Genomic DNA, 15,953 nt, shown 5'->3' with positions numbered 1-15,953 from the left:
TCACTTGAACCCGGGAGGTGGAGGTTGCAGTGAGCGGAGATTGTGCCACTGCACTCCAGCCTGGCGACAGAGTGAGACTCCATCTAAAGAAAAAGAAAATCAGGTTATTTGTTTTTTGAATTGTTGAGTTGTAGGAGTTCTTGATATGTTCTGTATATTAATCGCCCATCAGATATAAAAACGAGACTTTTAAGAATTGCATTGGCCGGGTGCAGTGGCTCACGCCTGTAATCCCAGCACTTTGGGAGGCCAAGGTGGGCGGATCACGAGGTCAGGAGATTGAGACCATCCTGGCTAACACGATGAAACCCTGTCTTTACTAAAAATACAAAAAATTAGCCAGGTGTGGTGGCGGACGCCTGTAGTCCCAGCTACTAGGGAAGCTGAGGCAGGAGAACGGCGTGAACCTGGGAGGTGGAGCTTGCAGTGAGCCAAGATCACGCCACTGCACTCCAGCCTGGGCGACAGAGCGAGACTCCGTCTCAAAAAAAAAAAAAAAAAAGAAAGAAGAATTGCATTGCAGCCAGGTGCAGTGTCTGATGCCTGTAATCCCAGCACTATGGGAGGCTGAAGCGGAGGGATGGCTTGAGTCCAGGAGTTTGAGACCAGCATGGGCAATATGGTGAAACCCTGTCTCTACAAAAAATACAAAAATTAGCTGGGTGTGCTGGCACCTGCAGTCCCAGCTACTTGTGAGGCTGAAGTGGGAGGATTACTTGAGGCCAGGAGATCAAGGTAGCAGTGAGCTATGATTATGCTATTGCATTCCAGCCTGGGCAACAGAATGAGACCTTGTCACAAAATAAAACAAATAAAATAGAAAAAGGAACTGCATCCCAGGAAGATGGGAGGAGAGTGCTCCCAGCCAGGGTCAAGGAAACCCCATTCTGACTTCTTAACACATACCTTTCTACTTGAGCATGCCTTAGACTGCCCAGTTCAGCTTTCCAGAAGTTGCTCAGTGAGCCTTAGGGGAGAGAGGATCTTGTACTTACAAGTAAACAAACTAGCAACATACTTTTAAGAAGAAATGAACTAAGCATTGGGGAAAAAAAAAAGGGAATCACAGCATTTGTTCAGAAGAACCAAAGGAAAGCATGGATTGAAAATGCATAAAGGGGCATGAAGGGAGTAAAACATTAAAGATCTCTTTGTTAATTGAGATTTTTAACTTTTATTTTTTTTTAAATTTTTTTTTGAGCTGGAGTTTTGTTCTTGTCACGCAGGCTGGAGTGCAGTGGTGCGATCTCAGCTCACCGTAACATCCGCCTCCTGTGTTCAAGCGATTCTCCTGCCTCAGCCTCCCGAGCAGCTGGCATTACAGATGCATGCCACCATGCCCAGCTAATTTTTGCATTTTTAGTAGAGATGGGGTTTCATCAAGTTGGCCAGGCTGGTCTCGAACTCCTGATCTCAGGTGATCCACCGGCCTTGGCCTCCCAAAGTGCTGGGATTACAGGCATGAGTTACCACGCCTGGCCTGAGATTTTTAACTTTTAGAATTGACTTGAAATACTCTTGATTATGATTTCATCATTAATGTCTCTGTGTGTGTGTGTTCACATGTGTGCACATGCATTCGGGGTTGTCTGTGTATCTGAACTATAGAATCAATGATAGTAGAGACAGGGTTTCACCGTGTTAGCCAGGATGGTCTCGATCACCTGACCTCAGATCCGCCCGCTTCGGCCTCCCAAAGTGCTGGGATTACAGGCGTGAGTCACCGCGCCTGGCCCCTGATCTTCCTAAAATAAGTGGGCAGTTTGCTTCTTCTTCTTCCTGACACGGTTTACATTTCAAAGCCTTCTTCTCCCTACTGACTACTGACACCGAAAGTTGCCCCCCAAGCCACTCTCCCTAATTCGGGCGTCCCCCTGCCACCCCTGTCCTGTGGTGGTGAGCCTGGAGTTGGGGCGGGGACAGGATGAACCATCTCAATTGATTTACTTCTTTTTCTACTCTCATCTCATGGAAGAGGATGAATTGTACAGGAGGTAGAGACATGGTTAAAGAGTCAGGAGATTTGTTTTCTAGTGCTGGATTTGTTATTAATTAGCTGTATGATTGTGGGCAAACTACTCTATCTTTTGAGATAAAATAAGACTTGGGTTAAATAATCTATGAGTTTCATTTCATGTCTAAGGCGTGGTGGCGGGCACCTGTAGTCCCAGCTACTTGGGAGGCTGAGGCAGGAGAATGGTGTGAACCCAGGTGGCGGAGCTTGCAGTGAGCTTAGATGGCACCACTGCACTCCAGACTAGGCGACAGAGCAAGACTCCGTCTCAAAAAATAAATAAATAAGTAAAAAGAAAAAAGGAAGATCAGGACTATCAGTTGGCAAAAAACAAAAAAAAAAAAACCAAAAAAAAAACCAAAACAAAACCTGAGAAAGTTTATTTTAATGAGCATAAAGGATAAAAATATCTAATGTATACAAGTTTTCACAATGAGACCAGTCATGGAGGTGGCAAGCTGAGTTGCGTGGTCGACATTTGGAGAAAGACAAGTCACAGGCCAGATGGAAGCATCCCAGGTTTCCTCTTCCCACTGCTCTGCCCCACCCACCCTGTCACACTTCCCATGGCAGAGGCAGCAGAAAGTGGGCAGAGGAAAAACCACTGACATCAGCAGATGCTGAGTGCAGAGGGGCGATGCCCAGGGTAGGTCATCCTGGGGGCTCATGAACCAGATTGGAGTTGGCTGGGAAAGACACGCAGACACCTCTGTGCCCTCACCCAGCTCCATTCGGGAGCCCTCAAAGCCATGTGCTGGATGTGGCCTCAGGTGCTTGATCATCTGATTTTTCAGAGAAAGAATGATGACCAAAATGAAGGACTGAGGCGTGTCTTGATCATCGAGGTTTATTAAGCCACTTGAGGGCGGGTCTGGGAAAAACACCGCACCTGTGGGACACACCTGTGGCTGTTTTTCATAAGAGGATTTCAGGAGGTTTAACATTTATATACGTCCTTAGAGGTGGGGGTGGGGCGAGTAGGGAGAGGGACAGGCCGGCTGCGAATGGTGCATTTTACATAAGAGAAGGTGAACATCTGGAGAGGAAAAAGGGAAAGAATCAAGCTGGGCGTGGTGGCTTACACCTGTAATCCCAGCACTTTGGGAAGCCGAGGCAGGTGGGTGCTTGAGCCCAGGAGTTCGAGACCAGCCTGGGCAACACAGGGAGACCCGCATCTCCATAAAAAAATACAAAAATTAGCCGGGCGTGATGGTGCCTCGCTGTGGTCCCAGCCACTTGGAGAGGCTGAAACGGGAGGATCACCTGAGCTTGGGAAGTCAAGGCTGCAGTGAGTTGTGATCCCACCACTGCACTCCAGCCTGGGTGACAGAGTAAGACCCTGTCTCAAAGAAAAATAAAAATAGATCAACAACAACAACTACAACAACAAAGTTAAAACTATAAACTAAATTTCTCCCAGTTAGTTTGGCCTACGTCCAGGGATGAACAATGGCAGCTTGGAGGTTAAAGGCAAGATGGAGTGGGTTAGGTCAGATCTCTTTTCTCACTGTTATAATTTTTACAAAGGCGGTTTCAGGAACAAGGCAATAAGAACGGGGGCACACATGTGCACATCTCCCCTCTTCCATCCCCTTTAGACTTTGGAGCGATCGTTTCAGTACTTCAGCATATCCAGCTGCTGTAGACTGAATGTGTGCTCTCCCTAAACCCATACGTGTATTTTATTTTATTTTATTTTTGGAGACAGAGTCTCACTCTGTTGCCCAGGCTGGAGTGCAGTGGTGCGATCTCGGCTCACTGCAACCTCCGCCTCCCAGGTTCAAGCGATTCTCCTGCCTCAGCCTCCTGAGTAGCTAGGACTACAGGCACCTGCCACGATGCCTGGCTAATTTTTAAAAATTTTTTAGTAGAGGTGGGGTTTCACCATGTAGGCCAGGCTGGCCTTGAACTCCTGACCTCAAGTGATCCACCTACCTCGGTGTCCCAAAGTGCTGGGATTACAAGCGTGAGCCACAGTGCCTGGCTCAAACACAGAAGTTTAAATCCTAAACTCCAATATGATGATGTTAGGAGGTGGGGCCTTTGGAAGGTGATTAGGTCATGAGGGTGGAGACTCCGTGAATGGGATTAGTGCCGTTATAAAAGAGACCCCAGAGAGTTCCCTCACCCCGTCCACCATGTGAGGACTCAGGGAGAGGAGGGCTGTCTATAAACCAGGAAGCAACCCTTACCACACACCAGACCTGCCAGCACCTTTCCTTGGGCTTCCCAGTCTCCAGAACTGTCAGCAATAAATTTCTGCAGTTTAGAAGCCACCCAATCTATGGTATTTTTATATAGCATCCTGAATACATTTAGATACCAGTTATTCTCAACTGGAGATGCCATCGCACCCATTCTACACACACACACACACACACACACACACGCACACACACTCTCATACAATTTCCCATTGGTGTTTGGAAATGTATAAAGGGGTGTTTTGGCTGCCACAATGACTGGGGGTGCCCGAGTAAAGTAGGGTGAATCCTTCCCCACTCCCACCTCATGGAATTTTGCAGATGAAGAGAACCTTCATCTGTAAAACAAGAATGATAATAGCGCTTTCCTCACAGGGCTGTTTCTTTAAGTTTGCCTGAGTTAATGTCACAGTTTTCATCCTTCTATTGTTTCCTTTTGAACACTGTGATCTTCTGGCCTGGCTGACTCTCCTCTTGATGCCCAGAGCTGAGACTGTCCTTGAGCATTCAGACGAGCATGTCTAATTCCACAGCAGGCCGGGCTGCCCTGTCCCATGGCCATCAACACTGCCTGGAGGGGTGACAGTCCACATCTGGGCACGGATTGCTGCTCTCACCTAGTTTTCCCAAACCCAAGATTATGTCCATGAGCCAGTGACATAGTGTTACTTTTATGGTCACTGGTACTTGATTGACATACTGAACAGAAAGTTTTAATACAAAGAAGAAATACATGTCAGGTTAAACATATATGGTAATCACTGTGTTAATTAAATGAATTAATTTAAGTAGATAACAGTAGGTGCTTCAGAGAAAGAATTTTGACACAACCGAAAGGTCCATTCCAACATAAGAATGTTACTCTCTGGAAATTACTATGTTCCAATGTTGGCTGGCTATACACCATCTCCAAAGGGACCAAGATCATAGCTAAGAGTTTTTGTAACCTTGCTGTGTGTTGTGGCCTCAGGCTAGACCACAAGATTTACCACTGGATACAGTGGAGAGATCAGACTTGCATTACCTTAATCTAGGGATTAATCTTAACTCTAATGATCAGATAGCCAAGTAGCCTCCCTCCTCACTATGGTATAATATGAACACCATGTTATCATCTATAGCACATCCCTAACAAAAAGATTGAGCTGGGTGCGGTAGCTCATGCCTGTAATCCCAGCTCTTTGAGAGGCTGAGGGGGGAGGACTGCTTCAGGCCAGGAGTTCAAGATCAGCTGGCCAATATGGGGAAACCCCATATCTACTCAAAATACAAAAATTAGCCTGGCGTGGTGGCACAAGCCTATAATCCCAGCTACTCAAGAGACTGAGGCAGGAGAATTGCTTGAACCTGGGAGGTGGAGGTTTCAGTGAGCCGAGATCATGCCACTGCACTGCAGCCTGGTGACAGAGTGAGACTCTGTCCCAGGGGAAATATGTTTAGGGATACAGATGTAACTTTCAGTTTACAGGAAAATACAGGAGACAAAGGAATAAGGTAAATGCCACCAGAAGCAAGCAACCAGACAAACTCCAAATAGGGAGATATACTTGGGGAAAACGGATCTGGTCCTTTCAACAAATCAGTGCCAAGAAAGAGATTAAAATAGATTTAAGATCACACCTGTAATCCCAGCACTTTGGGAGGCTGAGGTGGGCAGATCACAAGGTCAGGAGATCGAGACCATCCTGGCTAACACAGTGAAACCCCATCTCTACTAAAAATACAAAAACAAAATTAGCTGGGCGTGGTGGTAGGTGCCTGTAGTCCCAGCTACTCGGGAGGCTGAGGCGGGAGAATAGCATGAACCCGGGAGGCAAAGCTTGCAGTGAGCTAAGATCGTGCCAGCCTGGGCGACAGAGCAAGACTCCGTCTCAAAAAAAAAAAAAAAAAAGATTTAACAGGCATAACAAATGGTCTTGGGTCAAATCCTATTTGAGACAAGCTAAATATCAAATTGGGATATTTTTGAGGCAGGGAACTTGAATGTAGAATTACTAATTTTGCTAAGTATGATAATAGTATTTTGGAGATTGTTTTAATGTAAGAAAATGTTTTTCTAAGGAGAATACTGAAAATTACACACACAGAGCTAGAAATATTTGGAGGGGCTGAGCAAGAGTACACATTTGTCCCCATTTTAGACAACTTCATCCAAAATTCCTGGTATCTGGTTTAATTAATCAACAAATATCAAGTAAGCCTTGACTGTGGACTACGCTCTATTAGATATTGTTGGGGGTATGATGGAGAATATACTGGTATAGCTAAGAAAATGAGGTTCACTTAATAATAGAAATGATATTCTAAACCATACAGCATACACTGGAAATGCCACTGGCTTTCCAACACAGGGAGCCCAGTGGGGGCCATGTGTTCTATGAAGGCTTCAGGAGGAGCAGTGGCGGGGGTGTGTGAGCAGAAATCTGAAGGCTGCACATAATGTGGACAGCTCTCTGTGGCCCCCCGTGTGTGTGCCTGCACACGTGTGTCCCACACTCACACGTGTTGAGGGAAGAGAGAGATCCTCTCACATTGTTTTATACTCAGTACCTGTTTTAAAAAAAAAACAACAAGGAAGTAAAACCAAAGACAGGCAGCCTGGCGCCAGGCCTGAAACTAGGCCTGGGCCTGCCTGGCCTAAACCCAGTAGTTAAAAATCAACTCATAATTTAGAAACCGATGTTATTCATAGATTCCAGACATTGTATAGAAGAACGCTGTGAAACTCCCTGCCCTGTTCTGTTTCTCTCTGACCACCAGTGCATGCAGCCCCTGTCACGTACCCCTTGCTTGCTCAAATCAATCATGACCCTTTCACGTGAAATCTTTAGTGTTGTGAGCCTTTAAAAGGGACAGAAATTGTGCACTCGGGGAGCTTGGATTTTAAGGCAGTAGCTTGCCGATGCTCCCAGCTGAATAAAGCCTTTGCTTCTACATCTCGGTGTCTGAGAGGTTTTGTCTGCGGCTCATCCTGCTGCAGTGTGATACAGAGAGAAATCGTTCTTGCAACTTCCACTTCTTGGATTAATTGGCAGATTTTGCACATAGATTTTTCTTGCTATACATTTGGAATTAAAATTTCTTTGCCTTAGAGTGATCATTTGTGGTTACTTCCTTAGGATTATTATGTTATATAAATACTTGTTCTTTTCTGTGTTTGAAGCTGTTATTATCTCCCACCTTGGCTACATGTACACATGTGAAGGCTTAATCTTTTCTGAATCTGTGTCTGATCAGTAAGAAGCTTCCTGTAGAAGGTGTTTCATGCTGGTATTTCCTTTTTTTTTTTCCTTTAACTTTGTTTTGTTTTTGCTTTAGACATGAGGGCTCACTCTGCCGCTCCTGGCTGGAGTGCAGCAGCACAATCATAGGTCACTGAAACTTTCAACTCCTGGGCTCAAGTGAACCTCCTGTTTCAGCCTTCCATGTGGCTGGAATTACAGGCATGAGCCACCCCCCCGGCTCATACTGGCATTTTTTCAAACTTTGAAACTGAATTCATATCTAAACACATTTTTCTGAAATTAGTATAATCATTGTGAAAATAAATAAAACTTAAAAGCTGTTGGAAACCCCCAAACGCTTTAAGCTTTGAGAGAGATGTGGCTGTGATCTGAGTTATATGGCATGTTGTTGTCACGTCTGTTTCTTAGATTATAGCTTAACTCTCTTTCTCATTGTCCTTGTTCTGTCATTAACTAGGAAAGACCAGACCTCCCTCTTCCAAACACTGATCATTGTGATAGATTAACTGCCTCCTTTGTTATCCTGTACCTAACTCAGGCCAGATGGTGTCCCAAACGGGGACCCCATGACAGTTCCATCTTCAGTGTAGAATGTTAAATATACCTTTTCCAAAAGAAAAGAACCACCTTGACTAATGAGAACATTGTGACTATGCATTAAGCCTTATATAGAAAGAGGCTAAAATTCTGTTAAACTTCCCTAAGCTTTGTCTATAAAAGTGATCCCAAATTTCTAACTTTGGAACGCTGACTTCCATTCTTTGGAATCTGTGGTTCCTGGGAGGGTTGTCCTCAAACTTTGCACTTGAATAAACTGCTTAAACTAGATTCTGACCCTTTTGATTATTTTAGATTGACATCATTTACCTAGCAAACTAAGAGTTAAAGTTAAGTGGTGTGTTAAAGTCAATAGTATTCTCAATAAAAAGGAGAGGAATAGTGGCTTGCCCTTTGAATCCACAATCCCATCAATAATTTAAGGCAAAGAATCCTTGATTTTCATCACAATGTATTCCTGCAAATCCCATCCTGAAGTACTGATAAAGCAGGTTCAATTTTCCCAAAGGAACAAAGTTACACTGAGTTGTGTGGTTTAAAAACTGTGAAAGCTCCAGTAAAATTATCCAAAATATAGAAATTTAGAGCAGGGGAGAGCTTCAAAGGTCATGCATGAATCATAACTCCTATAAACCAAAACTAAAATTCTAAGGCCTCCCAACCATCTGAATGGTCCCCTCCTTTTGGCCAGGGCAGCCCAAAATTAATCTGAAAAACCTATTCAGGCCATGATGGAAGTGGGGCTCAGACATGCCTCACTATACCCTCCTCCTTTTTGGAATTCAGGAAAAGCCAACCAGAATTAACATCAACACTGATCAGAAGTCTGATAAGGAACATTTGCAATCTCTTCTCTCTGAAGCCTGCTACTTGGAGGCTTCATCTGCATGATAAAACCTTGATCTCCACAACCCCTCATTGTCAACCAGACACTCCTTTCTATTGATAATAACTATTTCAACCAATTGCTAATCAGAAAATTTTAAAATCTACCTATGACTTGGAAACCCCCTCCAACCCCCCTGCTTTGAGTTGTCCTGCCCTTCCAGATAGAACCATTGTAGACCGGGCGCGGTGGCTCACGACTGTAATTCCAGCACTTTGGGAGGCCAAGGTGGGCAGATCACGAGGTCAGGAGATTGAGACCATCCTGGCTAACACGGTGAAACCCCATCTCTACTAAAAATACAAAAAATTAGCTGGGCATGCTGGCAGGCGCCTGTAGTCCCAGCTACTACGGAGGCTGAGGCAGGAGAATGGCGTGAACCCGGGAGGCGGAGCTTGCAGTGAGCCGAGATGGAGCCACTGCACTCCAGCCTGGGTGACAGAGCGAGACTTCATCTCAAAAAAAAAAAAAAAAAAAAAAGAACCACTGTAAACCTTACATGTATTTGATTGATGTCTCCTGTCTCCCTAATGTATAAAACTAGGCTGTGCCCTGACCACCTTAGGCACATGTCCTCAGGATCTCCTGAGGGCTGTGTCACAGGTCATGATCACTCATATTTGGCTCAGAATACATCTCCTCAAATATTTTGCAGAGTTTGACTCTTTTCGTCGATACTTCTTATTACTGACTGGGAAACTGAAACCCTAGAGGGACCTATCGAGTGAGGAATAATAATCAACCCCAGCATGCTTCCCATCTAGAGCACGGGATATTATACAATAATGTTTTCAAAGCTCCGAGGGAAAATGATTTTGAACCAGAATTCCACACCCAGCCAATCCATTATTTAAATGTGAAGGCAAAATAAATTACAATTTCAGAAAAGCAAGGGTTCAAGAAGGTTACCACACTCAAATATTTCCTGAAAGAATTACTTGAAGACATGCTCTTCTGAAATAATGGAAGAAATGAAGCAGGAAAAGAGGAATGCTTAAGATAAAAAACAGTGATGAACAAATAAATGAAATTGTTTGTCATGTGGTTATGGACAAAATGTGTGGTGAATACATGGTTCTTAGGGAAAGGAACACATAATATAAAAATTAATCATGTAGAACTAAAATTCTGGATGATTTAAAGAAAATGTGGAAAGTGATAAAAGTGAAATGAAGGTGAGGGGAAGTGAGGGTCCTAAAGAAATTATTTTGTGTAGAAAGTGGCAGCCACAAACACTAATTCTCAACATTGATTTAAAAAGTTGAATGTTTATTAATAAATTAATAGAAGCGGACATGTAACTTTCAAGCCATTAAAGGCAAAGAAGGAATGGACAAACTACAAACTCGGCCAAGGCTGAAAAAGTGGGGGAAAAGGTGAAGGGAAAAAGGTGAAGGAACAAGAGAATGTTATACAGAAAGCACAAACTAAATGGCATTAATAAGACGAAATACATCAGTGGTAACAATATGTGAAGGTGTTTCATGCTTAGATTTTTTTTTTTTTAAATGGAATCTTGTTCTGTTGCCTAGGCTGGAGTGCAGTGACGCAATCTCGGCTCATTGCAAGCTCTGCCTCCCGGGTTCAAGTGATTCTCCTGCCTCAGCCTCTCAAGTAGATGGGAGTATAGGCATGGACCTGGCTAATTTTTTGTATTTTTAGTAGAGATGGGGTTTCACTGTGTTAGCCAGGATGGTCTCGATCTCCTGACCTTGCGATCCATCCACCTTGGCCTCCCAAAGTGCTGGGATTACAGGCGTGAGCCACTACGCCCAGCCACTTAGATTTTTTTTTAAGAGACTGCGTCTTGCTCTGTCGCCCAGGCTGGAGTGCAGTGGAGCAATCATGGCTCACTGCAGCCTCCAACTACTGGGTTCAAGTGATCCTCCCATTTCAGCCTCCTGAGTAACTGAGACTGTAGGCACACATCACTAAAATTGTTAAAATTTTAATTTTTTAAATTTTTTGTAGAGACAGGGTCTTGCTGTAGAGAGCAGGCTGGTCTCAAACTCCTGGCCTCAAGCAATCCTCCTGATTTGACCTCCCAAAGTGCTAGGATTATGGGTGTGAGCCACTCCACCCAGCCTAGATTGCAAACTGCTTGCAAGAGCCATGCCTAAAAGTACTCCAGAAAGGGATTTGGATTTATAACTGGGCAGAGAGAAAAATTGCTTTAAGCTAAAATTCAGGAAGGATTGGGCAGAGGCAGCAATTTTGGAGGGCAAGAAGAACCTGAGCAGACTCCCCTCGGAGTCTTAGAGAAGGAATGATGGTGGGTGGGGGTGAAGCCCACCCAGGTGCCAGGAGACAGGGAAACAGCAGGTGGAGCCTAGGGGATAGTGTTGGTATGGATCCGATTAGACGAGGTGACATCAAAAACCATTAATCAGAGAATGTTCTGTACACTAGTTTACTAGGAAAAGATAATGGGTATTAATGAATCCACTTCTGGTAGCAAAGGGCTTTGTTTCTATTGTGAGTTATTTTGGTATGCATGACCTTAAAGGAAGTCACAGCTCACAGTGGGCTCCAGTTTCACCATCTGAAAGCCTTATCATGCTGGGAATAAACCATGAATAACACCTGCTTCGGTAGGCCAGGCAACTTGGAATCTGTGTTATTGTTAAGTGTGCAGTGCCAGCTATCCTGCCAGTGTAATCCCCAAACCCTTGTTGAGATTTGCCTGGCCCATTGCTAACAAGCATAACACGGCCCCAGTTTGCAGCTCAGACAAAACCACCAAGGAGGCCAGTGCAGGGTGGGAGATCCAGGCTCTGCCCACACAGATAGCTCGACACCGAGACTTCCTTAATTCCAGGTGAATCCCCCCTCCCCCACCACCGAGGCCTGCTGCTTCTAGGAGGTGTTCCTCCACCAAGTAGCAACAGCTTTTTGTGCACTCTGGCCACATGTGAGCTCAAGCCTGGACCTATGATCCCTCCCTGAATGTCTGGGAAAGCCAAGGCAGGGGTCTGAGGAGGCTCCACTTTCTTTAAAAGCAGCTCACTCTCATGGCAACCACAAATGAGCACATTTACCAGAGTTTCTCCCATGAGGAGATGTTCCATTTCCACAAAGACAACGCATTCGGGGTTCGTAGAACAAGCACATGCATTTGGATTCTGTCTGTGTGATAGCCAGATGTCAGGTCTAAGGTGTAATTTAGTCTTATGTCTTTTAAATTCCTAATGGTAACTATGTAGCCACATCTTCAAAGCAGGGGTAAAAATCAGAACCGAGCCTGTTACTGACACTATCAGAAAGAGCCACAGGAAGATTCGGTCAAGAACTTGAGCTACAAATTTCCAGTCTTGTACTACCTGCAAAAGAGAAAAAGATGCCTTTCACTCAAGACACTGAGCAACTGTTCTGTATTCATCTCAAGGGATTAAAAAAGAGTAACATTCAGATTTATAGCATTTACTTAAGTTTTCAAAATGCATCTAATGTCCCAACCACACTACAGGCTCAGGTTCTTTCAGGGACTTCGCTAATTGTGCCCAAAAGAAGCAGCTTGGAACACTCTCATCAGCACTGAAGAAGGAAAATAGAAACAATAGAATTCTGTATGCATATGTCAACATTCCTGATCAGAATAGGAAAAGTCTGATTTTTACATGAATAAAGAGCCACTATAGGCCAGGTGCGGTGGCTCACGCCTGTAATCCCAGCACTTTGGGAGGCCTGGGGGTGGGGGGATCACCTGAGGTCAGGAGTTCGAGACGAGCTGGCCAACATGGTGAAACTCCCTCTCTACTAAAAATACAAAAATTAGCTGGGCATGGTGGCGGGCACCTGTAATCTCAGCTACTTGGGAGGCTGAGGCAGGAGAATTGCTTGAACCCAGGAGACAGAGCATATCTTAGGAAGCCAGTATATCTTACTAGGGTGCTTCCTGATACACGTATGAAAAGAATCACAAGTTTATAATTTAAGAGTTTTTGTGGCCAAATGTCACAGGCTTTCTTTTCTTCCACTCCACCTGTGCTGCAGCTCCAGAAGGAAGGGTGCTGCCAAGGAGAAGAACCGACCAGGACAAGACAGGAATTCATGAAGGAGACAAGAAACTGAGTCCCCTTTATTAGGAAGGGGAGGTGCAGAGAGTGGGCAACAGGTCCATAAACACAAAGTCAAGGCACGACTGGCTGGGGAAGTCTGAAAGGAAGGGGAGTCCTCATCCCTCTAGAGTAAATAAATGTCCTCCGTCTTGGGGAAAAAAAAGAAATCTTTGTATTAGGTTTTTGTTTTGTTTTGTTTTGTTTTGCTTTTTTGAGACATAGTCTCACTCTGCCACCCAGGCTGCAGTGGTGCAATCTTGGCTCACTGCAACCTCCACCTCCTGGGTTTAAGTGGTTCTCCTGCCTCAGCCTCCCGAGTAACTGGGATTACAGGCACTCGTCACCATGCCCAGCTAATTTTTGTATTTTTAGTAGAGACAGGGTTTCAACGTGTTAGCCAGGCTGGTCTCGAGCTGCTGACCTCAGGTGATCCACCCGCCTCGGCCTCCCAAAGTTCTAGGATTACAGGCGTGAGCCACCACACCCGGCCTGTATTAGTGTTTTTTTGTTTGTTTGTTTGTTTTTTGAGACGGAGTCTTGCTCTGTCGCCCAGGCTGGAGTGCAGTGGCATGATCTTGGCTCACTGCAAGCTCCGTCTCCCGGGTTCACACCATTCTCCTGCCTCAGCCTCCCGAGTAGCTGGGACTACAGGCGCCGGCCACCACGCCCGGCTAATTTTTTGTATTTTTTGTAGAGACAGGGTTTCACCCTGTTAGCCAGGATGGTCTCCGTCTCCTGACCTCGTGATCCGCCCGCCTCGGCCTCCCAAAGTGCTGGGATTACAGGCGTGAGCTACCGCGCCTGGCCCTGTATTAGTGTTTTTAAAAGATGTTAAGAAACAAACAAAAAAATTCTCCCAACTTGACAGCTGAATGTTTCTTGTCTAGCAGCAGTCACTTTTCTAGTGCTTTTAAAAACAATTTTAAGTGGATGAAAAACATGACAGATTGTTAAGAGAGAGGACATATGAGGCAGTGTCTGTGAACGCAAGAGAAAATGTAGAAGGATATTTCTAAAAAAAATTCTTGGCCAGGTGCAGTGGCTCAGGCCTGTAATCCCAGCACTTTGGGAGGCCGAGGTGGGCGGATCACGAGGTCAGGAAATCGACACCATCCTGGTTAACACAGTGAAACCCTGTCTCTACTAAAAACACAAAAAATTGGCCAGGCGTGGTGGCGGGTGCCTGTAGTCCCAGCTACTCGGGAGGCTGAGGCTAGAGAATGGCACGAACCCGGAAGGTGGAGCTTGCAGTGAGCTGAGATCGAGCTATTGCACTACAGCCTCGGTGACAGAGCGAGACTCCATCTCAAAAAAAAAAAAAAAAATTCTTTCATCAGTTTGTTTACGGGATCAGGCTCTTGGCACTAATTTTCATCAATTTTAGAGTAAAATATTTGAACCCTATAAATTGAAGTTCTCATATAAATTGAAAATATGTAACTTGCTTTAGGCAACAGATCACTTTTTTTTTTTTTTTTTTTTTTTTGAGATGGAGTCTCGCTCTGTCGCCAGGCTGGAGTGGAGTGCAGTGGTGCACTCTCAGCTCACTGCAACCTCTGCCTCCCAGGTTTAAGTGATTCTCCTGCCTCAGCCTCCCAAGTAGCTGGGACTACAGGCTCCCACCACCACGCCTGGCTAATTTTTGTATTTTTAGTAGAGATCAGGTTTCACCACGTTGGCCAGGATGGTCTTGATCTGTTGACCTCGTGATCCACTCACCTTGGCCTCCCAAAGTGCTGGGATTACAGGCATGAGCCACCGTGCCTGGCCCAACAGATCACTTTTTACGCTTAATATCTGCACGTCAAATAATATTTTCATTCCACTGGGGAAGGACTGTTTAGAAGAATGGGCTGGTCACGGTGGCTCATGCCTGTAATCCCAGCACTTTGGGAGGCTGAGGCAGTGGATCACCCGAGGTCAGGAGTTCGAGACCATTCTGGCCAACATGGCAAAACCCCATCTCTAATGAAAATTCAAGAAAAATTAGCCAGGTGTGGTGGTGTGTACCTGTAGTCCCAGCTACTTGGGAGGCTGAGACAGCAGAATCGCTTGAACCCAGCAGGCGGAGGTTGCAGTAAGCTGAGATCACACCACCGCACTCCAACCTGGGTGACAGCAAGACTCCTCTCAAAAAAAAAAAAAAAAAAAAAGAAGAAGGATGAGGATGATAATTAGAAAGGCGAGAATTCACACTTGTTGACTGCTTATACAACGGAGCTGAGCCCCTGTGTGCTGGGTACACTGTGCATGTTTGTATTTTATGTCATTTAATCCTCACACAAACTTTTCAAGGTAGGATTCAGAAAACTGAGGCTCAGGTTAAGTAACTTGTCTTAAGTCATTCAGATTATGATCTGAACCCAGGACTGTTTTCAGTCTGAAATTCACACTCTTCCCACGCTACTTCTTTTCTTTCTCCTTCTCTTTTATCTTCTTTTTCTTTTTTCTGAGATGAGGGTCTTGCTTTATTGCCCAGGCTGGTCTCAATTCTGGCCTCAAGTCATCCTCCTGCCTCAGCCTCCCAAAGTGCTAGGACAAGCACGCCCACCCACACCCAGTTAATTTTTAAATTTTTTGTAGAGACAGGGTCTCACTATGTTGTCCAGGCTGGTCTCGATCTCCTGCACTCAAGTGATACACCCGCTTTGGCCTCCCAAAGTGCTGGGATTACAGGTATGAGCCACTGTGCCTGGCTCACACTTAAAAAAAAAAAATCTGTAAACTAAATAACCACATCCTCTTTCCTCACCAAAATATCTGTTGTAACACTACATTTTATATTAATTTAAAAATCTCATTCTTTCTGATCTTTTATTTCTAAATACTGTGGTTGAACATATTTATCATCCAATGAAAAATGAAAGATAAATTACCAGAAACCAGGCTAACCAACTTAAAATGTGTAATTGAATTATTTAATATAGAATTATAAGAAACAATGCTTAATCAACAGTTGCTTAATCAACAGTTGCTTCACTTTTGCTC

The 15,953-nt window shown here is 44.7% G+C and overlaps 1 protein-coding gene across 3 annotated transcripts in view, besides 2 other annotated features; it reads right to left on the bottom strand.

Annotated features, from left to right (window-relative positions):
* Nucleotides 6,527–6,596: an enhancer, noted in NCBI's record as "active region_27314". NCBI's record gives its function as "activates an Ori minimal core promoter by ATAC-STARR-seq in GM12878 lymphoblastoid cells {active_cell/tissue: GM12878}" and the evidence as "EXISTENCE:reporter gene assay evidence [ECO:0000049][PMID:35858748]".
* Nucleotides 6,767–6,956: an enhancer, noted in NCBI's record as "active region_27313". NCBI's record gives its function as "activates an Ori minimal core promoter by ATAC-STARR-seq in GM12878 lymphoblastoid cells {active_cell/tissue: GM12878}" and the evidence as "EXISTENCE:reporter gene assay evidence [ECO:0000049][PMID:35858748]".
* CHRNB3 (cholinergic receptor nicotinic beta 3 subunit) overlaps nt 11,304–15,953 on the bottom strand; it is a 40,042-nt gene continuing 35,392 nt past the window's right edge. For all 3 annotated transcript variants that reach the window (NM_001347717.2, NM_000749.5, XM_011544390.3), the window contains one exon: nt 11,304–12,227. In NM_001347717.2, the coding sequence (NP_001334646.1) occupies nt 12,093–12,227 (135 nt within the window). In that variant the 3' untranslated portion in view covers nt 11,304–12,092. The remainder of the gene's footprint in view (nt 12,228–15,953) is intronic.

Source organism: Homo sapiens, chromosome 8 (genome assembly GCF_000001405.40).
Source record: "Homo sapiens chromosome 8, GRCh38.p14 Primary Assembly".
Classification (NCBI taxonomy): Eukaryota; Metazoa; Chordata; class Mammalia; order Primates; family Hominidae; genus Homo; species Homo sapiens.
Note: the sequence above shows the minus strand (reverse complement) of the source record. Positions and strands in the feature narration are given on the sequence as shown.